This window comes from Homo sapiens, chromosome 12, assembly GCF_000001405.40.
Source record: "Homo sapiens chromosome 12, GRCh38.p14 Primary Assembly".
Lineage (NCBI taxonomy): Eukaryota > Metazoa > Chordata > Mammalia > Primates > Hominidae > Homo > Homo sapiens.
In genome coordinates this window covers 69,585,059-69,603,367 of record NC_000012.12, presented here as the reverse complement: position 1 = coordinate 69,603,367, position 18,309 = coordinate 69,585,059, and the positions used below count along the sequence as shown (strand labels likewise).

Below are 18,309 nucleotides of genomic sequence, written 5' to 3'. Positions count from 1 at the left end.
AGATATTTGTGAACTTGAGATTTTTCTAAAGACAACAATCAGTAAGGGCTTTGAAATATATGAAGGCAAGGTATGGCTATTTTCTTCAATATAGTAGTTTGCATATTTTTACCTTTTTAATATTTTTTATTGGCCAATCTGTTTTAAGGTCTTTGGAGAAAATATGCCTAACTCCATGCCATCTGGCCCCTCAGGATAAACTCACCTGTCCCACCACATCCTTTGTGGGTTGTCATATGCTCTCCTGCTCCACCTACCTCAGTTGTGAGGATTACAATTAATGTGTGATAAAGCACTTAAAAAAAATCACACAGCAGATGGTATTGCTATTCAATCAGTGTAATTCTAATACCACATTCTTCCAGTTTTAATCACATCTACAAATATTAAAATATTGAGACAAATTCTTACATGTCTCAACTTCCCCCCCCCCTTCCCACAAAATTGTTTGGTCTATCAGTGTTTCTTTAAAAATCCTTTGCTCCTTTATGGGAATGTCCCTCCATGTTAGCACAGATGTCCAATAAAAACTCAACCTGTTGGTCTCTTACTTCTTGTGTATTCTGCTACATACGGATGCAGTATTAACAGCCTCCAAATCTAGAGTTGCCTTTAAACCAGCGAACTCAGTCCATACTTACACCCATTCTCATTCTCTTATCCACTTACCCAAAACAAAAAACCCTTAAAAAAAAAAAAAACCCAATCAATAACAATACTTAAGTCTAACCATACTCTTCTTCAGAGAAATTACCTTACAAAGCATTGGAAAGAGGTGCTGAGAACCAGCCAGGGCAGCACAGCAAAACCTGTCTCTACAATTAAAAAAAAAAAAAAAATCAACCAGGCATGATGCCATGCACCTATAGTCCCAGCTACTTGGGAGGGTGAAAGAATCGCTTGAGCCCAGGAGGCAGAGGCTGTAGTGAGCCGTGATCACACAACTGTACTCTAGCCTGAAGGACAGAGTGAGATCCTGTCTTGAAAAAAAAAGATACTTAGAGCACATCATCTTGCAACTTTAAAATATGACTTTTTCAAGCTTAAAAACATCATACAACATAGAGACCAGCCTGGCCAACATGGCAAAATCCCATTCTCTACTAAAAATACAAAAATTAGCCGGGCATGGTGGTGGACTACCATGTAATCCCACCTACTCGAAAAGCTGAGGCAGAAGAATCATTAGAAACTGCAAGGTGGAGGTTGCAGTGAGCCAAGATCGCACCACACTGCACTCCAGCCTGGTGGACAGAGTGAGGCTCCATCTCAAAAAAAAAAAAAACACATCACAGAAAGCATCGTAATTTTTTTCAATGCAAGAGACAGCACTTAGACTACACCAAATTAAATGAGTACTAGTTTATGGCATTTTCACTAAACAAAATTAAATGGGTAAATTAAATCCCAAGCAACTGGGATTATAGGCGCCCACCACTATGCCCAGCTAATTTTTGTATTTTTAGTAGAGATGGGGTTTCACCATGTTGCCCAGGCTGGTCTTGAACTCCTGACCTCAAGTGATCCACCTGCCTTGGCCTCCCAATATTAGGATTACAGGCATGAGCCACCGCACCCAGCCATGATTGAGTGTTCTTATGGCCCAGCAACAAAACCAAAAGATTAATATATGGCGTGTTTATCACATTTGACTTGGACTTATATTAATCAAGATAATTATTTCAAAAATGTAGATGGCCAATCATTAAGCTGGAAAATGCCATATTGAAAATAATCATTAATTTCCATTAAGTAGAGTTCAAACAGAATACACACATATAAGACATAAGAACCAAGTAATTGTTCAAATTTTTATTTTAATGCACAGTATGAGAAATGAACTTTTTTAAATCAACTGATTTGTATGGAAAATGACACGGCAAATAAATTAGACCTATGTTAAAGCGAAGGTCAGCTAAATATCCAAACTTAAGGATATAATGGGCACCGATAAACAGATTCCACAGTCTTCTTTAATAGAGTATCTTTCAAACACAACTTTGCTAGAAACTGGTCCAAAGATCGACAGCACGTGGGAATGCTTAACAGGGGTGGTGATCAGGGACACGTTTCCTATGAGAGTAAGAAAAAAGTCAATAGTGAAAAATGAAGAGCATGATTTTATCCAAAGTATTATACTAAATACAAACACAACTAGAATCCTGTATTAAAACTGTTATAACTCTGCAATGGTTTGCATGTGTGTCCCCTATAACACTCACATTGAAACTGAATCCCCAATGTGGCAGTATTGGAAGTTGGGCTTTTAAGAGGTGACCAAGTTATGTCATGGACTAATGGGTTATATAGGATGGGACTGCTGGCTTTAGGTGAGGAGGAAGACAGACCTGAGCTAGCCACTCAGCCCCCTCCTCTGTGTGATGCCCTGCACCACATCAGGACTGTTCTGCCTTGGGACTCTGCAGACACCCCCACCAACAAGAAGCACCTTCTATTCTCATCTTTTATTCTTTGATGACCATACAATAAGGGGGCATAGAACAATCTTTTGGAAAGATGGGATAAGGGTACTAGTAAATTTGTACTTAATGCTTGTTCAAGGATCTAAAGCTTGAGAAACACTGCTTTTAGAGGCAAACACAACAGTTACGAGAAGCTGAAGAAGCTTAAGAACAGATCAAAGAGTACAGCATTATACAGGGATCATATAGAGAGATAAACTTTTCACCCTTGGTAGCTTATGGGGGGACTAGGATGCTAACCATTGTCAAGAGTTATGAAGCAGCTGTCACAGGGCACTGATCTGAAAAAAAAAGTCTTCTGGAGATTAATAAGGAATATGAAAAAGAAGCCCATGGTCTGGTAGGTCTGGAAGGCTGAGTTAAAATTCAGTTTCTTTATTGCAAATTACTCAGAATTTGCTAATAAAAGATACCTGATCTCTAAAACAGTATCAGACCAAACAAGGTATTATACATTTTTTAAGCGTTATTTCAACTGTGGGTGAGGGCACTGACTTCTTGTGAAGATTTCTGGGAGTAGGTGTGGCTATATGACCTTGCCCTAGAACACTTTAGTTACAGAACTCAGTTTCCTTTTGCTATCATTCTGTTTAAAGACAATAGAAAGCATCACAGCATCTACTGTCCTCAGTACTTGACCTTTCCAAGCATGGCTCTTTCTGTGCCTTTTCAATCCTAAGAGCTACCTCAGCTGCCCATCCCTCTTTCCCCTTAAGTTTTTCTGGCTTAAGTGTTAAGAGTTGTGATATTTTAAATAACTTACATACTTTTATCCAGGCAAAACTGTCTCTGCTTTTCATTAACTCTAATTATAAAATAAATACAGCTCCCTATTTTGTTTTGCTGTTAGTAATTTTTTCTGAGAAAAGTGTTAGGGTACCTGGGTGCCGCTTTGATGATGTTGTCCACACGCAGAATCACCTCTGCTGCTTCAGCTGCACTCAGAAGAACCTGTCGCTTCACTTGAAAACTTTCTGTTATACCCAGGATAGCCATATCTCCAATGGTGCCTTCCCTCATATCTGCAAAGAAAAACAAATTTACTAAAAAGCAGTTTTAACTAAAGTATCAAAACATCTCTAATGATTTATAATAAAAATTAATCCTATTAATAAAATTAGGACACCCAACTACTTTACTCAGTAGGTAGATAAGCCTACAAATGAGCTCAAAGAAAGCCTTTAAAAAAATTAAAAGGGGCCGGGTGCAGCGGCTCACATCTGTACTCCCAGCACTTTGGGAGGCTGAGGCAGGTAGATCACCTAAGGTCAGGAGTTGGAGACCAGCCTGGCAAACATGGTGAAACCCCGTCTACTAAAAATATAAAAAATTAGCCGGGCATGGTGGTGGGCACCTGTAATCCCAGCTACTCAGGAGGCTGAGGCAGGATAATCACTTGAACCCAGGAGGCAGAGGTGGCAGTGAGCTGAGATCATGCCTCTGCACTCCAGCCTGAGTAACAACAGTGAAACTCTATCTCAAAAAATAAATAAATAAAATAAAAGGGGCCAGGATCAGTGGCTCACACCTATAATCCTAGCACTTTGGGAGGCTGAGGCAGGAGGATTGCTTGAGGCCAGCCTGAACAACATAGTGAGACTGCCCCCCCATCTCTAAGAAAATAAAAATAATTTAGTCAGGCATTGTGGCACATGCCTTTAGCCCTAACTACTTGGAAGGCTGAGGAAGGAGAACTGCTTGAGCCAGGGGTTCAAGGCTGCAGTGAATTATCATGGTGCCACTGCACTCCAGCCTGGGGAACAGAGCAAGACCATTGTGTCAGTTATAATAATAGTAATAACAACAATAATGTCAACTACTGATCACCCATATTAATAGAAGACAACATATCAAATAATAAAAAACAAATGGAAGAAAATTCATAAGTTACCTACCCAACTTCTCTTCTTGTGAGAATCCTGCTTCATTTTCTCACAGATTAACTGGTGCTCCCTCTTGTTCAATGACAGGATTATCTACCTTCTTAAGACTACTCTATAATGTCCAGCACAGCTTGTCAGAAAGTTTTTCAATATGAATTAAATCTGCCTCATTGGCCACTTTTATCTATGGACTAGAGATCTGTGATCTGTACTCAAGATTATCTTGCAGTAAGTTTACTATGAAATTAGAAGTTAATACTGATTGTATAAACAACATAATAGTTTATGTTATTTTTCAGAATGTAAGTATTGTTTATATTTAAATCCTATAGTCGTTATATACCAAATAGTTACAAATCTTCTAACCAGTTTTACATGTCTTATGGAATAACAAAGTTTGGGAAATGCTGAGCATATAAAGTCACACACATTTTCCCAGCACATGTAATGATTATGAGGACAAAGTCCAAAAGAGTCTTTTATACGGTTATTGTAACTCTTTATGTTCCAAAAGAAAAAAAAAGCTTAGTGAAAAGAGTTACTTTTAACAACGGCCACAAAGTTCCCCTTGATTGCTTACCCAATCCAGCAGTGGTATTGCCTTCACTGTGAGCAGCCCTGAGCTGTGCCACCAGGTCTGCACTGTCATAGCCTGCATTGTCAGCTATGATGGTTGGCAACTATGAAAATGAAGAAAACAAGTAACTACTCACTCTACTGTAAGAACCACTGATTTACTCCTAACTAGGATAGCTTTTTAAAATTATACATTTAGGAACAATGTAAAATCTGCTTCAGTTACTGCTCACGAAGAGGAGAAACTCCAGAATCAAATTTAAAAGCAGTATTAACCAGTTCATTTTCTACTCATTTTAAAACTATCAATAACCACAAAACTTAAGTTCGGATCTCTCATTTTGATTAACTTACCATTCTCAGTGCTTTAGCATAAGACTCCATTGCAACAGCTTCTTTGCCTGGTGTTCTATTGGCAAGCTGTGTCACAGCATGAGCCATCAACATCTCAGAACAGCCTAAAGATTAAAATTCCAATAAAATATTGCAATGCTTAGTTGTCTCCAAGATACTGAATTACTGACTTTAAGATATGCCAAGCATTTTAAAATTTAGTGCAAAAGCAATATAAGATTTCTGTAAGAACCATTAAAACCACTTATGACTTATATTGTACTTTAAGAAATTAAAAATATATTCAACATTTTCTAAATGCTTACCTCCTCCATAAACTGTTCTAGAGTCCTTTACAGTTTGCGCAAGAACACAAAGAGCATCATGCAATGATCTTTCTGCTTCATCTAAAATTTGTTGAGTGGCACCACGCAAAACAATGGTACAAGCCTCACCTAAAATTAAAAGACACAGTGACCACTTAGGGATAAAAAGTTTGCCTTCTATTATTTATGCCGGTGTTGGTTATATTACTGGGTTCTGAAAGCTGACCTGTCTTCCTGTATTATACATTCTCCAACAATCAAGGCTCATAATGGTTCTAAGTTATCAAGGAAAAAAAACTGTTGAACATGCACTGTTCACAAAGACACGGTAAATATGAGGTTGACTCAAGAGACTGAAACAAAGTATGTATCATGCTTCTGAAGAGTTAAGACTTGTAAGATATGCTATTCTAGTAACTACAATAACCTTTACTTCAACAGAGCCTAGCAAGAATTTAGACACCCTAACCAGGATCTACATAATCACTCACCAAGGGCAACCCCAGAAAAGTGAATGAGTTTGTCTTCTCCAATCATGACTTCCTCGATAAGTTTGCAACTTCCAAGCTTCACCAGTTCTGGGTGATCAAAGGTAGAGGCAATTTCACCACCTATAAACATAAACATGTATTAGTTAAATGCACAGCAGGCTTAAAATTCCTGTTTTCTAATAAGCAGTAATGGATAGATAATGATAGGTAATGTGTTTCACATTTTAAAAATTGATTGCTGATTATATTCCTGGCACTCTTTTTAAATACTTCATATCGACTAATTATTTAATCTTTAAAATAATCCTCTTGGATAGGCTCCATTATTATCCCATTTTACACATGATAAAAATGAGGCCAAGAGGTTTACCTTCCTATCCAAAGACCTAACTAGGATGAATATAAAAAGCTGGGGTTCAAACTCAAGCAGTCTGGCTTCAGACCTATAAGCACACACTATACAATACTACCTTCCCAAGGTTAAACTGAGTCTTAAAGCAGTTACTTTTGAGTTTAAATTCAGATTCTCTTCTGAATCCAACCTATAAGACTAAGACCTCATGATACAATTCCCAGCACAAGACATGAAAATATTTGTCCTATAAGTCAACCACTATACACTTCATGAACTGCTTAATAAGCACCTGATATCTCTAATTATCACAAATGAAATGTCCTAAGGCCTAAAAAAACAAGAAATGCATACTAAGAATTTCCCAGACCAAATTTAATAAGAACAAATTAATTTAGTCCTTATGTCTCATTTCTATTCCTATTTTCCCTCCATCTTCCATGCTGTAAACTGAACAGGTCAGCCACTTCGTTCCCTATTTCCTAACTAAGCAAAAGTCAGGTTTCCATTTCAAAATCCTTTTCTCTAGCTGACTACTCCTTTCATAATGTGAATTGCATATATTATCAATCAACCCTTCTTTTCCTATGCCTTACTGATAAATCTGTCAATGCTCTATTATTTATTTTATAATAAATTCATAAAGACTCTGGTCTTTGAAACTACTAATTTATACTCATAATTTGTATAAAGTTCTTTTTACTTTTGGCTGGCAAAATTCTGAGACTGCTTTGTGTTCTAGATGTGAGACACAACAGATATTTGGGACGTCATATCCAAAAATAAGACTAACTTGGCTTATGAAACTTTTCACTTCATCCTTCTACATGAGACTTTTCTTTCTTTTTAAAGAGAGAGTGTCTTGCTACCTTGCCTAGACTGGAGCGCAATGACTATTCACCAGGCACCATCATAGCACAACCTCCTGGGCACAAGCAATCTTTCTGCCTCAGCCTCTTGAATAGATCAAACTGCTGGCACATGCCACCATGCCCAGTGCAAGACATTTATTTAATGACACTTGCAAGAACCAATGTCATCATACACCTTTGACAACCACTGAGCTTTTAAGGATGGGAGCCACCATGTGGTCACCTTCATAGACATACAGTTGGTGTACTTAATAAACATTCTTCTGGGTATAGAGCAATTTCATGTCAAGACCTTACGATATGTTTATCCCATCAATATATTATTACCATTTACTTCTTACATCTTTTTTTTTTTTTTTTTTTGAGACGGAGTCTCGCTCTGTCACCCAGGCTGGAGTGCAGTGGCGCCAATCTCAGCTCACTGCAACCTCCACCTCCCGGGTTCAAGTGATTCTCCTGCCTCAGCCTCCCGAGTAGCTGCGACTACAGGCACCCACCACCACGCCTGGCTAATTTTTTTATTTTTAGTAGAGACAGGGTTTCACCATATTGACCAGGCTGGTCTCAAACTCCAGACCTTGTGATCTGCCCACTTAGGCCTTCCTAAAGTGCTGGGATTAAAGGCGTGAGCCACCACACCCGGCCTCTTACATCTTTATTTTGTGGAACTAAAGAATGAATTACATAAACATGAGCATCTTAAATTGTGTTTATTTGTCACCTTAAAGCATCAAGTACGCAATGGCTCCTAAGTAACTTTAAAGCAAGTAAACCCACTTCAAGTAATTAAAGGAAAATGTCTCTTGGTTAGAAGACGACTATGCTTCTCAAATGATTAAAAAAAACGTCTTAAGAGATCATTCTGGGATGAGACCAAGTCCACTCTCCAAAGGTTAGTACACTATAATTTCTTCTAATATTCATGGCAGTTCCAAACAGTGTGACAGCCCTACTGACTTCACAACTCATAACCCAGGTCTCCTTAATTCTCATTCCCAAACCAACTTTCCAACCTATTCATTCATTTTCAAGGACCTAAAATCTAGAAAAGTGTTAAACTTATTTTCCAGGGCTTAGAGTGTACTATGAAAACCATTAACAAAACTATACTTATATCCCTAAATCTGTAAAAATTTAATAAACAATAATTTTTAAACCATTACCACAATAAAAAGCAAACAAGCTGCATTTTTTTTTTTTTTTTTAAAGACAGGGTCTTGCTCTGTCACTTAGGATGGACTGCAGTGACGTGATCACAGCTCACTGTAGCCTTGGACTCCTGGGCTGAAGAGATCTCCTGCCTCAACCTCCCAAGTAGCTAGGACTACAGGCATGTGCCACCACGCCCAGCTAATTTTTTGTAGAGACAGTCTTACTATATTGCCCAGGCTGGTCTTGAACTCCTGGCTTCAAGCAATCTTCCTGCCTTGGCCTCTCAAAGCACTGGGATTACAAGCATGAGCCACCGCAACCAGCCTGAACTCATGTCATTGTGATGTAGACAGACATGTCTGATTTATAAACACAATTTCTATTTGACACAACTGGAATTATATCACTCATACTTCTATTAAAGGGTATTGAGGTATACTAATTTTCATTATACAATGTTGATTGTTTCACGTATGCTAACGTTTATTACTTTCAGAAATTTTTTAAAATTAACAAAAGCAATGTTTCAGTACTTGACCCACTCTCCAGCACACAGTAAATGTTCAATAAAGGTTACTATTGTAACTGTACTACTACAAAGGACACAAAGCATTCAACTACTTACTAAGCAATAAAAACAAATGTACGAACTAGATAAATGTAAGTAGACTTAAGACTTTTTAAAGCTCTAGTTTGTTCAGATTTTAACAACGGTCTTACAGGTTTGTGAGAAAAAAATATACATATCTTTTTTTTTTTTTGAGACAGGGTCTCACTGTGTCGCCAAGGCTGGAGCGCAGTGGCACGATCTCCGCTGACTGCAACCTCTGCCTCCCAGGCTCAAGCGATTCTCTTCCCTCAGCCTCCCCCCAAGTGGCTAGGATCACAGGCGCTTGCCACCACACCTGGCCAATTTTTTTTTTTTGTAGGGATGTGGGTTCGCAATGTTGCCAAAGTTGGTCTGAAACTCCTGAGCTCAAGCGATCTGGCTGCCTCGGCCTCCCAAAGTGCTGGGATTACAGGCACAAGCCACTGCACCTGGCCAAAAATCTACCTTTAAAACAGTGACACAATGAAAGAAATCTATACCTACGGCAAATGTGGTATATAACTTGGTATCGTAAATGTAATGTATCTATGTATCTAAATTAAAGGTATCCAAGAGAATAGATTTCAGAATAACTGCTGAAATTCTAAACTCCTTAAAGGTAGTTGCATATAGTAACAAATAACAAATTCAAGAGTGACTATTGTGTTTGTTAGAAAACAATACCTTTTTTCCATACCTGTGACAAGAGCTAGGCGTTCCACACCTGCAAAATCTGCATGCTCAATAGCCATGACACCAGCAGCACCAAAGAGCTGTTCAGGATAATTATAAATTAATTGCCTGTAAATAAAATACATGAAAACATTATGCTCACAACTGTTACAAGATAAACTACATTAGACTAAAAAACATGTAAACATTTTTACCACAAGTAAAAGAAATGCAAATTAGAACAAGATTGCATTTCTTACCTATATAATTAGAGTTTATCAACTATAGTACTAATGCATCCATTACTAGTATTGAAAAGAAGTGTTCTTTATTATAGTAACTGTATAAATCAATCCCGTAATTCTGGTCACTGTAAGTGTGCATAAATCACAATTTACTGATTACAAAAATCCATAATTTAAGTGAAGTTATCTAAGACAGTTCCTAGGTAAAAAATCTAATTCAATATAAGTAAATATGAAGTATTCCATAAACTTTCATGGAAAAAAATCCTTTCTTAAAAGCAAACACAGACCTGTTAATAAAGCAATTTATTCCATGCTTAAGAATACGTTCAACTTTCTCCTTCATTTTTTCCTTTTCCGCATGTTCTATTTCTGCAACCTTTGCTGTAGAGTCAACTCTTACCCGGGAACCAAATATCTAAGACAAACGAAGCATAAAGAGAGCATCAGTTTCATTATTTTTTTTGAGATTGAGTCTCGCTCTGTTGCCCAGGCTGGAGTGCAGTGGGGCAATCTCGGCTCACTGCAACCTCCACCCGCTGGGTTCAAGTGATTCTCCTGCCTCAGCCTTCCAAGCAGCTGGGATTACAGGTGTGCGCCACCACACCCAGCTAATTTTTGTATTTTTAGTAAAGACAGGGTTTCACCATCTCACATTGGTCAGTCTGGCCTTGAACTCCTGACCTTGTGATCCGCCCGCCTGGCCTCCCAAAGTACTGGGATTACAGGCGTGAACCACCACGCCAGGCCTCATTACTCTTTTTAAAGAGTCCCATAGCATATTTCAACATTTTTACCAACGTATATATATGTGTATATACACAATAGATTCATACCTATTCCAAGCTTTTTAGTGCAATTGATTCCTGAGTTTATAGAATCCAGCAATTTTTTTTTTTTTGAGACTTTTGAGACGGAGTTTCACTCTTGTTGCCCAGGCTCGAGTGCAGTAGCACAATCTCGGCTCAGTGCAACCTCCGCCTCCTGGGTTCAAGTGATTCTCCTGCCTCAGCCTCCCGAATAGCTGGGATTACAGGCATGCGCCACCATGCCCAGCTAATTTTGTATTTTTTTTTTTTTAGTAGAGACAGGGTTTCTCCATGTTGGTCAGGCTGGTCTCAAACTTCTGATCTCAGATGATCCACCACCTTGGCCTCCCAAATTGCTAGGATTACAGGCATGAGCCACTCTGCCTGGGCAGTAATTTTAATTTTTAAAAAGTAGAGTTACATACCTTTATTTTGTCTGTATCCATACCAGTATTTGCAATAAGAATTTTAGCATTTTCAATTCGTTTTGGTTGATTTACTCCAATTTTTTTATCCAACAGGAAGCCTACAATAAATATAAGAACAGTATCATATTTAATACTTCAAAGCAGCCTTAGTAAATCTTATAAAAAGCTGTCTGCTTTATCATATCACTGTTTCAAAGAAGCTATTTAAGTCCAATTTACCAAGCTCTTAGAAGGCATAAAAGCAAGCTTGTCCAACCTGCCTTATTCTGTTGTTGTTTTGCTTTTAGGCTTTTAGCGCCTGAAAGCCATGGATTTTAGTTTCTGTCTCTAGTGATAAGCAGAAAAGAGGGAGGAGGAAGGGGCTTTACCGACCCAACCAGAAACAGAAACTAGGAACCCATGACTGTATTCTCTTCCTTGGACACTTCTGGTATAAAGCATCCCACTAGAAGAGTTATTACAAAATCAATTTAATGGGTTACTTAAAAAATATGAAACAGAAAATATAAGAGCACAGTACAGACAATAAAATTAAACAGTATTTTGAAACTTTTGTTTCAGATATACGCTACACCCACATCTGTATGGGTTGCAATATAAAGACAATAGGTTAAGTCCTATATTTTTATTAGCTTAAAATCACCACCACAAGAGAAAAATTGAAGATTCAGGTATTGAGGCTGGTGGTAAAAATGGAAAAACCATGGACACCGTGGAGTCAGATAAATCTGACCCTGATCATGCCCCTGCTGCTGGCTATATAACCTTCGACAAATTATCCAACCAGAAATGCTAATTTGTAAAACAGGAATGTAACCAGTAGCAGAGGTGCTAGTTACCAGCCTAGTCCTGCTGCTTTGGAACCATCATACAAACCCAGTACCACCTACCTTTCTAGGCCTTTTTTTGGTTACATTAGAAACTTTTCCATTATGAAGCCACCATTATCTTGGGTTTTCTACTCTATTCAAGTGAACCTAATCCTCACTCACCAGGTCATGATGACTAAATGACTAAAGTTCCTATTACAATTCCTAGTACAGAGCAGACATTCAAGAATGGTGCTGCTTGTGCTACTAATATTCTTGTTTTAATGCTCCTTCCCTACCACCAGCCCCTATCAGAAATGCTACGCAGCGGCCAGGCATGGTGGCTCACGCCTGTAATCCCAGTACTTTGGGAGGCTGAGGCAGGTGGATCCCCTTAGGTCAGGAGTTCGAGACCAGCCTGGTCAACATGGCGATACCCCGTCTCTACTAAAAATACAAAAAAGTTAGCCAGGCATGGTGGCACACGCCTGTAATCCCACCTACTCAGGAGGCTGAGGCAGGAGAATCGCCTTAACTCAGGAGGCAGTGGTTGCAGTGAGGCGAGATCATACTGCTGCACTCCAGCCTGGGTGACACAGCCAGACTCCGTCTCAAAAAAAAAAAAAAAGAAATGCTACACAGCTCTTGTATATAAACTTAATCAAGAGTATTTTCAGAATTATGACTCTCTCTTAAAATAAATCAAGACCTATGACACAGAACAAAACCAGGACTCCAAACCACTGGTAAAAACAGAAGTTGTAAAGCACCATCTAATTCTTTTTTTTTCCTTCTCTATATAAGAATGCCTATACTTTTTGACAGGCCATTTTGTGAAGTAAATATAATGTGAAGATGATCTGGAAAACTTCACTCTAAACAAAAATGTACTACTAAGAAAGCAGTACTTATTATGTCTCATTTATCACTCTTTAAGAACTAGATCCTCTTGCCCTATAAACATACATAATTATTTGTTAAAGAAATTTTTTTTAATTCTTTTCTAAAAAAAACTAGTCATCCCCCAGTATACGAAGGGGACTGGTTCCAAGACGCCCACATACACCAAAATCCCCACATACTTAAGTTCCAGGCTGACTGGAACCAGCAGATTTGAAAAGCTGGCCCACTATATACATGGGTTTCAAATCCTGCAAATACTGCATTTTCCATCCACGTTCGGTTGCACATGTGCAAACCACGGACACAAAGGGCTGACTATATTTATTGAAAAAACCTGCATTGTGAACCTACATAATTCAAACCCATGTTGTTCAATGGTCAACTGTACATCCTCAACAACCAGCTAACACAATGATTTGACTGACCCAGACCCTTCCTGGAGAATACATATAATCCTGGTAAAAGTACCATTTGAGAATAGATGATTTCTAGTAAAAGAAAACATTTCCTCTTTATCAGAGACTGCAAATAACTTCATGGTAGTTAAGTAAACTCTAGAGATCATCAACAATGCTGGAATAGCGCGGGAAGAGGAGTACACTGTCAATAAAATGACAAAAATGGTTGCACATATGATATGTCCTTAAATTCAAGTTCACTGGCTTTGTAAAGGGTCACTGGTCTCAAAACAGAATTCACTCAGTATTCAGCCCTCAGCATCTAATCAAAGCTTCTTGTATCTGACATTCATACATACCTTCATCTAAATAGGAATCTGCCAAACTTCCTCCTAGCTTCTTGATAATATGAATTGCCTCCAGGTTGCCAGAGCCTTTCAGTCTGAGAACTGCTTCTACAGCTAACTTTGTAAAGTGGTCTTTGTGATGAGTAAGAAGTTTTGAGGATAATGTTGTGCCCGCAATATTCATTAAATCTTGACGGAATTTAACTTCATCGGAACTAAATAAAACCAACCAAATATACATATTAACCCTACTTTACTTTTCAAAATTTATCTAGATATTCATGTCAATAGATAATTTTACCCTAACTGATCAAGTCTGTAAGCTATATGAAAAGAATTAAACCTCAGCAGTAATCAAGAAACACAAATTAAAGATGTTATTTTCCCCACCAAACTGGCAAAATGCCAAAAAAAAAAGAGGGGTGGGGGCCACACAAGCATGCAAAAGTCTAATGTTGGCAAGAATGTGAGAAATGGCCGGGCACAGTGGCTCACGCCTGTAATCCTAGCACTTTGGGAGACTGAGGAGGATGGATCACTTGAGGTCAGTTCAAGACCAGCCTGAGCAACATGGTGAAACCCCATCTACACTAAAAATACAAAATTAGCTGGCTATGATGGCACATGCCTGTAGTCCCTGCTACTTGGGAGGCTGAGGCAAGAGAATCGCTTGAACCCGGGAGGCAGAGGTTGCAGTCAGCCGAAGTCGTGCCACTGCACTCCATTCTGGGCAACTCTAAGAGCGAGACTCCGTCTCAAAATAAATAAATAAATAAAAGGACGTGAAAAACAAGTATTATTATACAGTTGTGAATGGGCAAATAAATAGAAGTGCCTTAAAACAGTGGTCCCGGACCTTTTTGGCACCAGGGACTGGTTTCATGGGAAGACAATTTTTCCACCTGCTGCTCACCTGCTGTGCAGCCCAGGTTTGGGGGTGCCTTAAAACACACACACTTACCTTTGGACCCAACAATTACACTTCTAGAAACCTTTGGGCTATGTCGCAACGTCACAAAGTTATTTTATAATGCTAAAAATCATCAAATACACAAATCTCCCCCTACAGATAGGTTAATACAGTCATTCTAGCCAAATATTCAAATGTGTAACTCTATTAAAATACTGCACAGAAAATTGACATCCAAAAATGTGCTTAATATTTAACTAGGTTAAAAAGAGGCTAACAAATTCTCTATACAGTATTATACTATTTGCTTTATTTGTATATTTTGATGATATATACAAAAAGACTAAAAACCCAAACTTAACTTTAGTGGCTATCTCTGGAGGCTGATGTAGGTTTGACTGTTGGAGTGGGGTGAGGCAGCAAGATGATCTTTGTGTATGCTTTTCAGTGTCCTATAGATTTCTTGCATTAAGCATGTTATGAAAGAACACTAAATGTTTAGAACAGTAGTACTTTGCTATACAAACCCATGATCAACTGCAGAACTCAACAGCGCCTCTCTTGCAGCCTTCGTGGCTTCTCTCCAACCCGCTATGATGGTCTGTGGATGAATCTTTTTTGCAATTAAAGATTCTGCTTCCTATTAATAAAGTTATAAAACAAAAGTTATAAATAGAAAATTATTAAGCACTCCTCAATAGTAAAGACAGAGGAAGTAAGGACTAGATTACCTCTGATACTCAAAAACACAGTAGGAAAAAAGAGTTGCTTAGTTGCTCTTACCCTTAATAATTCTGCTGCTAAAACGGTAACAGAGGTAGTGCCATCACCAACTTCATCATCTTGAACCCTTGACATATCTAGAAAAAGAAATTAGTTATTAACTCAAAATTGCTTCTTTGCTTACTAAATTCTCCAAAAATATTCACTACCAATCTAAACTTACCAGGGTTCCTCATTCAACAAATTATTTGGAACTCTGAGGTCTGAAATGCAACAGTTTTACCACCAACATACGGGCACTCCTGAAGCTTGTATTTTAACAACGATAATTAACAACTAGTGGACATCAATTGACAGTACGATTGGTCAACACAGCCTATTTATAAAGTTATTTCAAAAATGTTAACAAACAGTATTATTAGGTTGGTGAAAAAGTATATTCAGACTTACCAACTAAAACTTTAGCTGCTGGATTGTCAACACCAATGTTTTTTAGAATAGTGGCACCATCATTGGTTACCATAAGAGAGGCATCTCGTCCACTGCTTAGAAGAATTTTGTCCTAAAGGGAACATAATTGGTTCAAGTTAAGACATAAGCACATCTTGAAGAATGCATGGATCAATCAGTATTCTCACACAGTGCTAGTGTATAAACACTCTGGATAGCTATTTTGTGGTATCCATTCATCAAATGTTTTCAATACATACACCACGTAACCAAACCATGTATCTACCCCTAGAAACACTAGAAGCACAGGTAGACACTAGTTTTTGTTTCAACACCGTAACTGCAAAAACAATGGAAAGAAACTATCAATACAGCCATAATTAAATTATAAAATAATTAAGGTACAGGATAATATTTGACAGTTAAAGGGGCAGTGTTATCTACTTACACTGAAAGGAATTTAAAAGAGCAAGCTACAAAAAAGTATTGATAAATAGTATCTGTTTTATAAAACAGTATGTTACATGAGTATAAAATACATAATGAAGTACACATACTTCTACATAAACAGAATATTAGAAGATGTACGTGCAAATGATAACAGTACTTGTCATTGGGGAGGGGCATGGGATTGGGGATGGTGATTCTGGGGACTCTGATTTTTACTAAGGAGAACATACTTGTCTTTTATAATTAAACGTTTTAAAGATTAAAAAGCATTTTAATACGCTTGTTATTATATTTCCACCAAGCGCTCTAAAACAATATTAAAATATAAAACTTTTCTATTTTTCTTACCATGCCTTTGGGTCCCAAGGTGCTCTTTACCAAGTCTCCAATGGCGATGGCACCAATAAAAGAAGTCTGGAGTAAAAACCAAGGAGATTATCAGAATCAACTTTACAGTCTTCAAGTACAGTTTTATCTTTATTTACTTTTTTTTTTTTTTGAGGCAGAGTGTCGCTCTGTCGCCCAGGCTGGAGTGCAATGGCGCGATCTCAGCTCACTGCAACCTCCGCCTCCTGGGTTCAAGCGATCCTCCTGCCTCAGCCTCCCGAGTAGCTGGGATTACAGGTGCCCATCACCACGCCCGGCTAATTTTTGTATTTCTAGTAGAAACGGGGTTTTACCATGTTGGCCAGGCTGGTCTCGAACTCCTGACCTCAGTTCATCCGCCTACCTCGGCCTCCCAAAGTACTGGGATTACAGGAGTAAGCCACCGCGCCTGGCCTCCAGTTTTATCTTTAAAACAATGCTTAGAACAAGGCTTACCAGACGAGCTGTCTCTGCTCTCTCTTCATCAGCTCCTGCCTTAAAGATGTTAACAGGTGCAAGGGAAAGGGACGCCTGAAAAGGAAAACCAAGAGGCATTCCGTTTAAGTACCAATACTCTAACACATACACTGAGGTGCCTTCCACTAGTCTTACAAGTGGACATCTAAGAGAAAACTCATTTACAACAATGTTTTCAATCAAATGAAGCTTCCATCATCGGAGAAAGCATTTAAGTGGGAGAGAGGGACTTGTAGGAGAGCGACATGGCTTTTCGGATTTACAAGGCCCCCGGGAGTATAAATTATACACCAGCGAGATTGACAGTTACGTACAGCGAGACTAAAGACGATCTTGAACTAAGAATGAGGCAGGGAGGGGTTGCAGGCCATCAAGGTGACGCCTGCCGGGCGGGCGAGGGAACGCGGCCTCCATCTTCCACCCTCGGAAGGCTGCGGCCCCTCCACCCTCTGATGGCTCAGACCCCGTCGCTCCAGGCTCCGCCCCTAGAAGGAGGGCGGAGCGGGTCCCACACTAGAAATTTCTTCGCTCCGGGTGAGGCGCGGACCTGGGCTGCCGGGACTATGCAAAGACCTAGGCACAAGGAGACGCTGGCTTTGCGGTCCACCCCTCCCCCTCGTGGTGAGCTCCACCGGCTGGCCTGGCGCAGGCCGCACGCCCCGCGCATGGCTCGCACCATGTGCGGAGGGCCGGGGAGACAGAAACGGAGCCTACGACCCTAGCAGGACAGAGGAAGCAGTGGGGTGGCAAGAGCACGGCGGAGCAGGGGTAGGGCAAGAGGCAGGGGAGTCAGGCTCACCATGGTTCCGAGGAGTTCCGCACACAAGTGAATCCCCTCACAGCTCGTGCTCGGGACCAGCGGACTGAAGGAAGCCGGAAGTGACGCCACACGCCCTACTTCGGGGGGCGGGGCCCCGGCCTGTCGTTACCGCCAGCAGGCGTCCCATTTTGATTGGAGCCCCACGGGCCGGAAACGCAGCCTTTCACACTGGAGGGGGCGTGGCCGCCGCTCCAGAACAAAGAGGCGGCTGCCGCGCGGGTTGCCATAGAAATGGAGTTCTTGCTCACACTTTTTATTTTCTTAAATTTAATCTTTAAACACTTCTATTAAAGTCACACATGTACACAGTTTAAAGTGTTATATACCAATAAGGAAAAACATAATTTATCTGCCTCACCACTTCCTGTCTCCAGGAAAACTGCTTTCAACTTTTTCAGTTTTTTGGAGGGGCTATTTACTATCATATTCCCAGATAATATTATTG

General features: G+C 39.5%; 1 protein-coding gene across 2 annotated transcripts, besides 1 other annotated feature; it reads right to left on the bottom strand.

The window, feature by feature from the left end:
- Positions 1 to 1,797: 1,797 nt before the first annotated feature.
- On the bottom strand, positions 1,798 to 17,909 carry CCT2 (chaperonin containing TCP1 subunit 2). Of its 2 annotated transcripts, none has more exons than NM_006431.3 (16): positions 17,844 to 17,909; positions 17,024 to 17,098; positions 16,550 to 16,615; positions 15,752 to 15,863; positions 15,362 to 15,438; positions 15,106 to 15,218; positions 13,681 to 13,883; positions 11,209 to 11,309; positions 10,265 to 10,392; positions 9,755 to 9,858; positions 6,093 to 6,212; positions 5,602 to 5,730; positions 5,297 to 5,400; positions 4,947 to 5,046; positions 3,364 to 3,505; positions 1,798 to 2,073 (listed from the first exon to the last, which is right to left on the bottom strand). In NM_006431.3, exons 1-16 carry the CDS (start codon positions 17,844 to 17,846, stop codon positions 2,043 to 2,045), a joined length of 1,608 nt encoding a protein of 535 aa, NP_006422.1. In that variant the 5' UTR covers positions 17,847 to 17,909; the 3' UTR covers positions 1,798 to 2,042. The 2 variants fall into 2 exon arrangements, with proteins under 2 accessions (NP_006422.1, NP_001185771.1); NM_001198842.2 differs by lacking the exon at positions 17,844 to 17,909 and adding an exon at positions 17,359 to 17,479.
- Positions 17,539 to 17,878: an enhancer, noted in NCBI's record as "active region_6653". NCBI's record gives its function as "activates an Ori minimal core promoter by ATAC-STARR-seq in GM12878 lymphoblastoid cells {active_cell/tissue: GM12878}" and the evidence as "EXISTENCE:reporter gene assay evidence [ECO:0000049][PMID:35858748]".

What these genes read in the sequence shown, in the direction of transcription:
- CCT2 (NM_006431.3), bottom strand. An exon ending in CCTTGGGACCCAAAGGCATG is followed by an intron (nt 15,864 to 16,549) that starts GTAAGAAAAATA and finishes TGTTCCCTTTAG; the next exon opens with GACAAAATTCTTCTAAGCAG. An exon ending in TGGATACAGACAAAATAAAG is followed by an intron (nt 10,393 to 11,208) that starts GTATGTAACTCT and finishes CGTTTGTCTTAG; the next exon opens with ATATTTGGTTCCCGGGTAAG.